Source organism: Homo sapiens, chromosome 14, assembly GCF_000001405.40.
Source record: "Homo sapiens chromosome 14, GRCh38.p14 Primary Assembly".
NCBI lineage: Eukaryota > Metazoa > Chordata > Mammalia > Primates > Hominidae > Homo > Homo sapiens.
Window position 1 is genome coordinate 26197717 of NC_000014.9, and position 8421 is coordinate 26206137.

Consider the following 8421-nt stretch of genomic DNA (forward strand, 5'->3'; position numbering starts at 1 on the left):
AGACTGTAAACTTTGGCTTGCAAATTCAAGACACCGAAGTGAGGTGGGTGGTAGTTATCTGCAAAGAGTAGATGTAGGTGTACCCCGGCTAGACCCTTCTAGAATTGATATTCTATGATTCTTAGAAATATTCTTGCTTTTGTACTGATCTATCTTTTGTTAGATCATAAACTGTGGTGTGTGTGGTGGGGGACTGGTGGGGGGACATTGGGAGAATAGCTATTGGTTAGGATGATAAAAAGGGAGCAACCCTGGATGAGTGATTGCCAGAAAGGAGGCCTTTATCATGAAAATGTTGATTCCTAGGAGAAGGGAAAAAGCAGGAAAAGCAGACATAGTGAGGCTTCAGACTCCTTGGGGCTCAGATCAAAGGTAGCAGATCCGCCAAGCCTGAGGCCAGCCCTGAAGGACAGAGACAATAAGATGGCACAGCCTAATAAATGCCGCAAACCCTGCTCTGTCTGATTCAAAACTAGCATTTTACACAATGACACAATGCAGTTCCATCTATATTTAAAATGATGTGATTTAGACACATTTAATTCACACATTCCCATACTCATACCATTAATTAGGCCACTTTGATGGATCACGGTGAGCTACAGCTAAGATCTAGCCCTGCAACTGCCTAGGTCTGTACACATGTATTGAAAGACCCTGAGGTTATTACAAAAGTGAAGTGGTTGATCATTAAGCTGCCCTTCCATGGGTCATCTCAGTGTACCCTATGATCTTCCCAACCAATTCTCCCTGCCTTCAAGACTATTACATCATCTACCCCTCCAACTTAAAACTTACTTAGGACCCACCTTAAGATAGGGAAATGAAATTGAACAGGGCACAGTTCCTGTCCTCAAGTAAAATACAGAAATTTGAACAGCTGATTACAAGCAGTTCAATTTAATAGAGGTATAAACTCCTTCTACTCTTGTCTTAACTCTGGAGCAGAATTAGCAAAAACAAGATCCTTCTGGATGCTTGCTTCTGTGAGAAGGTGGATGCTAATTTAGATTCAACCCGAAGATCTTGGGGTGACCCTGGTACCTTATAACTGTGGAATCTACTTCAAACTGCCACAAACTAGACATCATAGAGGTACTTGGGAGCATTGCAGTCTACCAATAATTTGATATTCATTGGTTGAAATATTTTAAATAATCATTGTACTACTTGAATGTGTACAGCATTGTTCAGGAATTGGTTCAGTATAAAAATTGATATAATGTCACCTCTGCCTCCCAGATCTTAAGGTCAGGATTCAGCAAATTCAACCTTCCAGAAGAGCCTTTAAGTTTGTAGAGAAAATGCTACCAAATCTAGTGAAAACAGCTATTGCAAAGATTACAGTCTCCTGAGATATAGCTGCATTAATATAATTTTACATACTGTATTGGATAATCTTGGTATTTTCCTAGGTGGAGTAGACAGAATAATGGTCCCCCAAAGATATCCATATCTTAATCCTTGTAACTTGTGAATACACTATGATATTTGGCAAAGGGGAATGGAGATGACAGAGGGAATTAAATTTGCTAATCAGCTAACCTTGAGATAGAGTGGTTATCCTAGATTATCTGCTGAGATCATCATAATTACAATGTATAAGTGGACGAGGGAGGCAGAAAAAGGAGAACTAAAGAAATAGAAGCATGAAACGCCAATATTGCTGGCTTTGAAAGTGGAAATGGAAGATAAAGAATCAAGTAATGGGGATGGCTCCCAGGAGCCAAGGAATAGTTTCTTCCCCAGTGCCTCCAGAAAAGAAAACAACCCCCACACAATTTTACTTTAGCTCAGGAGACCCATTCAAACTTCTTAGCTCCAGAACTGTGAGTTAGTAAATTTGTGTTATTTAAAGCCATTAAGTGTGTGGTACCTTGTTACGGTAGCCATACAAAACGAATATACTAGTTACATGGAAAAGAGAGAAAAGCAATTGAAGCAGCCAACAACAGCTCAGGTAGAGAATAGGGAGTCATAGAAACCAGAAGCAGACCCACAGATGGCTGAAAAGATTGCCTAAAGAGAGAAGGGACTAAAACCACCAATTAGGAGAAAATCATACTGTGGGGAGACCACAAACCACAATAGCCCTGAGAGAGAGGAATGTGGAACCACAAAGTAGTCAGCCACAGAGCAATGGGAGTTGTTAAAAACTAAACCAGTCCTGGCCTACAACAGCTGCCTCCGAAGGCATAATTTAATTCTAAAGTTGACTGTCTTATGTTCCTAAAACCGACCAAGTCAACATGAAAATGTTAAACTGCATTCTCTATGTTCTTAGAAGGAAGGAAACTGTGGACTATTTAGAGTTATTTTCTCTTAGTTGCCAGAGCCAGCCACTTGCATGCATAAAAACCAAACATTAACAATAAGTTATTCTTAGTGTGGGGACCCACTAGAAAAAAAAAGTAAATTCAAATGTCTGCGAAGGCAAGGGCATGTATAGCTTGAAAAATATCCTTTGGTTTCCATGACATCACTTAGTCATCTCTTTCCCACACTGACCACGTCTCATTTTTCTTCCCCAGTTTCCTTCACTCATTACATTTTGGTTCTCCCAGGTTTACTATCTCCAGATTTTTTCCTCCTTCTTCTCTCTATGTGCTATGTAAAATCTACCAAGCTGGTGGCTTTCACTACCCTGTACATGACAATGTTCTCAAGCCTTATCCCTAACTCAGAATTTTCTTCTGAGTCGCCGATCTGCATTTCAAGCATTTGAATGCCCAGTAGCATGAAAAACTAAAAATGTGCCTAAATAAAGCTTATAATTTCTACCCTCATTTACCTTAAAATTCTATCTAGTTCTTTATTCTTTACTTCATTTAATTGGAACACCATCCATTCATTTGCTCAATTCCAAAAGCTGGACATTACTTCTCTTTGAGTTGCACGATCCTGGCATTGGAACTACTGGTAGCAGCCCTTTTCTTAGGACTCACATGCACTTTATTACGGCACTGTTTTGACTATTATTACTGCTTAACAAACATTTTAAAACCAAGTGACATAAAACAACATTTTATTATGGTCATTTATTCTTTAGATCAGGAATCTGGAAAGAGGACAGTAAAGACGGTTTGTCTTTCCTTCATGATATGTGTGGCTTCAGGAAGATTCGTAGACTGGGGATAACTTAATAGCCCTGTGTTGGCATCATCATGAGTCACATTGTAGCTATCTTTGGAAAGCATAATCTGCAGCAAACATCACACTTTTATGAATCTTTACATACCTGTGGCATTTGTCACATTAAAATTGTTATAGAAATTTACACTGATCGCAACTTTTAAATTATGGCAATTATTACAGCCATTGCCAGATCTTGTCAATTGAGGCATTCATTTTAAAAATACATATATATTATAAATTTGGGAAAATATTTTGATAAACGTTTTTTACTTTTTTTTTTCTTTTTTTTGAGATGGAGTCTCACTCTGTCACCCAGGCTGGAGTGCAGTGGCGCAATCTCAGCTCACTGCAAACTCCGCCTCCCAGATTCAAGCGATTCTCCTGCCTCAAGCCTCCCGAGGAGCTGAGATTACAGGCATCTGCCACCAGGCCCGGCTAATTTTTGTATTTTTACAAACAGGGTTTCGCCATGTTGTCCAGGCTGGTCTCGAACTCCTGACCTCAAGTGATCTGCCCACCTTGGCCTCCCAAAGTGCTTGGATTACAGGCATGAGCCACCATTCCTGGTTGATAAATGTATTTTTGATGTGTCCATTGTAATCTTATGTAGGTTTTTTTTTTCTTTGTACTTAAAAACATTGTTTTTAGAAAGATTCCTCAGATAGCAAATGGGATTTAGGCACAATAAAAGGTTAACTCTCAGTATTACTTGAATAAGTGAATAAATGAATAGCAGAAATAAAATTTTGCCATTTAAGTGGTAATTTCTAGTTAGGTAAATTTTTAAAACGCAGATCACCGCACTTCCCAAGAATGCGAAACAAATGTAATACTCTTTTGGGCTAAGAATACATTTTATTTTGTCTGCTTGGGTCCCTATTTCATTAGTGTTTAGGAAATCAGTAAGTATAATTATGTAATAATTAAGCAATAATTAAAATACCATATTATGGTTTCTGTATTATAACACTCTGAGCAGGTCTGATTCTATGCATCGAAGCAAAGTAAACAAACACATGAACCTGGAGAATGTTCCTTTAGTCCTGCCTTTCCCACAGTGAGTTCTATAAAATGCTGGTTCTGTTATACATGAAAATAAAAGGAAAGAAGTAAGGAAGGGAAGGAGAGAGAAAAGAAAAGAAAAGAAAAATGTTGGGGTGTTTGCTGGTCAAATTAGATGGAGAAATACACGGTTCAACCAAGCGTAAAATATTTCTTTGTAATTGGACATTCATGTTGATGGCAGGTCCCTGAGAAGAGAGAACACAGAGCACAGTGTTTTCCAACCCTTCCTTCTCCTGAGTATCACATTTTATGGAAAAACTGGTCCAGTCCAGTTTCCTCATGATGTGCCTACAGAAACCAAGGTCCAGAAAGGCAAATGACATGCCCAAGGACAATCAGCTATGAGGAGCAGGGCCAAAACTGGAATCTGTCTCCTGGTTTCCAGTCAAAAGCTGTTTCCACTTTCCCACCATGCCAAATAATTAACAGTGCAGGTGCCTCCTTGCACAGAACAGAGTAATATCGATAAATCAAAATGTCGGTTGCAGACTGGTTGTTGGAATAAGTAATCTGAATGGGCAAGAATGATGAGACAGAAGCAATCCTTCATAGTATTTCTGCTCAAGTAAGAGCTGCTGACATATTTTAGGTATGTAGCCTCTCTTTGAAGAACATCTTTTTACCTTCCTCTATTCCTGAGACCCCTATAGCATTTGTGGTGGGATGAGGCCTGGGGGCTTCAAGCATGGCACTTGGCAAGATGCAGAGCAGAGAGCCAGTTCTATGGCTGCACAGAAAGCGAACAGTGGTGATGACTGTCTCCTCTGCCTTCTGAGAAGCCAAAGATGAGAATATGACCTGAAGAGCTGACTTGGAGTACCATCCTGCAAGATTCATTACATTTAGGTGTGAAGTGTTGCTTTGTTTTGTTTTTCATTCACATCTACAGATTGGAAAGAGTTTCTTCTCCTTTCTCCTCTTGAAATAATCACTTTCGGCCAGGCACTGGGGTTCACGCCTGTAATCCCAGCACTGTGGGAGGACGGGATGGGCAGATCACTTGAGGTCAGGAGGGAGACCAGCCTGGACAACATGGCGAAACCCCATCTCTACTAAAAATAATACAAAAAATTAGCCAGATGTGGTGGCATGTGACTGTAGTCCCAGCTACTCGGGAGGCTGAGGCAGGAGAATCGCTTGAACCCGGGAGGTGGAGGTTTCAGTGAGCCAAGATCACGCCACTGCACTCCAGCCTGGGTGACAGAGCGAGACTGTCTCAAGGAAAAGAAAAAAAGAAAAGAAAAGAAAGAAAAGGAAAAGAAAAGAAAGAGAAGAGAAGGGAAGAGAAAAGAAAAGAAAAAAGAAAAGAAAAGAAAGAATCAATTTTAACATAATAAAGCAGAGAAGAAACCTATGGGATTGTTAATTTGACTTGTGGACAGTCTGTGTATCTTAACAATTACACATCCCGAGGGCAGCCTCCTTCCCTTCTTTTTTTTTTTTTTTTTTGTTTTACTTTGTTTTGTTTTGTTTTGTTTTGTTTTGAGATGGAGTTTCGCTCAGTCGCCCAGGCTGGAGTGCAATGGCACCATCTCAACCTCTGCCTCACTGCAACCTCTGCCTCCCGGGTTCAAGCGATTGTCCCGCCTCAGCCTAGTGGGGTAGCTGAGATTACAGGCACCCGCCACCATGCCCAACTAATTTTTGTATTTTTATTAGAGATGGGGTTTCATCATGTTGGCCAGGCTGGTCTTGAACTCCTGACAGGTGAGCCACCTGCCTCAGCCTCCCAAAGTGCTGGGATTACAGGCGTGAGCCACTGTGCCCGGCCCCTTTTCTTCTGTACCCTCAGAATCTAACTTGTGAATAGCTAGTCAGAACTTAAGAACTGAGAACCAGCTAAAGAAAATGAGGTTCTTAGGTAAGGTACAAAAGACGATCAAAGATTCAAAGGCCCTGAGAGAAGAGGAGAAACAGGTGGGCCAACAGAGGTGGGCCACAGCCCTGAGAGAGTAGACAATCCCAAGGTCAGAGAATGGAGGCAGCCAAGAGTAAGTGAAATGGGGTGGAGGGCCGAGCAAGGGAGCTGAAGAAAGGTGGCACGCAAAGACTGTTTGAGGCCTACGTGTACACACTTGAATGGCTAACAAAATAGGCCATTTGGGTTACGAATTGCATCGTCCCTTCCTTCCAATTATGAATCACAGTGTTAGAATGACGGTATCTTGTCAAGGAAATGGTATGACAGTTTTCAGATACTGCAGTAATCTCATTCAATCTGTTCCATTCTTTGCTTCTACTGCAGCCACTTTTCTTCAAAATTTAATAGTAAAGGTGTATGTGATTGGACTGCAAGGTAATCGTCAAGGGACTCTTAGAAATTCTCCTCAGAGATAATATAAAATAGTTGACCATGTCCCAACAGAAATACCAAATTTGAAAAAGATGTGTGGAGAGGAGGATAGTGAGACAATCTGAAAAATAAGCTAACTTAACTGACAAGTTTCCTGCCCTCAAAGAAAAGAAGAAAAAAAAAATACACACACACACACACACACACACACACACACACATATATATATATATATTCCCCATCTAAAAAGAACGTAATCCCATAATGTGAAAACCATCCAACCCACACTGCTAGGGTGAAGGGGAAACATATTAGCAAAAACGATACAGAAAACGATTCTGAAGTGCTGACTGTTCCATAGAGTAAGTGAAAGCAGAAAGCAATTCAGGTATAATTTTCTTGAACAGGAAACAACAGCCAAATTCTTATTCAGAGATAATCCGGTCTCTACGAATTCCTTCTTTCACAAAATCTCCTTTTCCCCATCTTTTAAATTGGGTGACTGGGAATTATCCTTTTGGAGAAACTCAGCAAGATTTCTCGGTTTGCCTTTTTACAAAGGAAGTCAGCTAGAAACCGCCCCGTCACTGACGGGGAGGCAAAGGACTCTCGGCGGCCAGGCCCTGAAGCCGCATTGGTGGGTCTCCATTTAGTTTGTCCTTTAAAGTCCGGAGAATGATTATTCCATAATTCTCTCACCTGATTAATTCTTAACTATGAACATAATTACACTCTCCAGAAGGTAAATCGGTCTTATAAATCAGTCGTCGCTGACAGTTCACTATGCGCAGCGCGATCGCCCGGGGTTGGCGAGCTGAGCTGAGGGTGGGTGTTTGCCAAGTCGCCGGTCCCCTGCGTCCCCGCCCGCCGGTCCCTTCTCCGACCCGAGACCCCCGCCCGCCGCAGCCCGACTCTGGGGCGTTTGGGAGGTGGGCCTGAGGTTTGCCTAGGACTCGAGTTCCTTTCAAAGGAAGGCGAGAGGGAGATGGGGAGAAGGAGACTCGGAGACTTCTCTATTAAAGCCGCGCTGAACTCTAGCCTTCTGGCAAGCCGCGGCAAGCCGCCAATTTGAAGTGTGTGAGCTTTAATCTGCTCCTAGCCTGATGGGCTCCCGTGTCCACAGGGAGCTGGGAGGCATCCATTACGCCGGACCAAGGAGATGGAGCGTCTAGGAAATATGTTAATGCCGGAGCCCTCCCCGCCGGCCCGAACCTGCCCTTGCCAGTCTGACAGCCTCGGAGAAAGTGACATTTCGGGAGAGTGTCACTCCTAGCAGGGCTCCCAAAATTCACTCCTATTCGTTGCATTAAACGTTTTTTTTTAAAGACTTCAATGATCCATTCATTTGCTAAAAATGCGATGTTCTGTTTGTTTTTTTGTATTTGTAAGTCCAGGATGGGTGGTTTTTGTGCACAGAAAAACCCACTTAACTTAGTAAACAATGGCTTTTAAATTAACACATGAAATATTAAAGTTATACATTTTAAAATCTAGCTTTTCTTAAGCGTTTGATTTCTACATATAAATCTTCTATTCATAGTATAGCACATTCAGCAACAATTTTTTAGGGAGATTGGCTAATATTTGGTCCTATTTACAAACTTTTTTTAAACCTCTTCAAACATTTTAAACCTGATTTGTCAATTGAGTATATCCTATTACCTATTTAAGTTTCTCAAAGATCTGATGGACAAACTTTTCTAGATAGTTTAGTATAATAGCTTTTACAAATTAATTACATGGCATGGTGAACCCCAAATTCTATTAAATGTCCAAACTGAATGTATCGTTGGTAAGACGTGAACTAAAATGACAAGTATGAATCAATTACACAATTAACATGTTTAACTGGAATGACAGATTTACCTGTTATTCTAATAGATCCAATTCTCTTAAATACCGTAATACTTAAACTATGAAATATACTC

General features: G+C 41.0%; 1 annotated feature.

The window, feature by feature from the left end:
• Nucleotides 7523-8035: an enhancer, noted in NCBI's record as "H3K27ac hESC enhancer chr14:26674445-26674957 (GRCh37/hg19 assembly coordinates)". NCBI's record gives its function as "activates a minimal SCP1, AML or CMV promoter by ChIP-STARR-seq in naive H9 embryonic stem cells {active_cell/tissue: H9 hESC(naive)}" and the evidence as "EXISTENCE:reporter gene assay evidence [ECO:0000049][PMID:30033119]".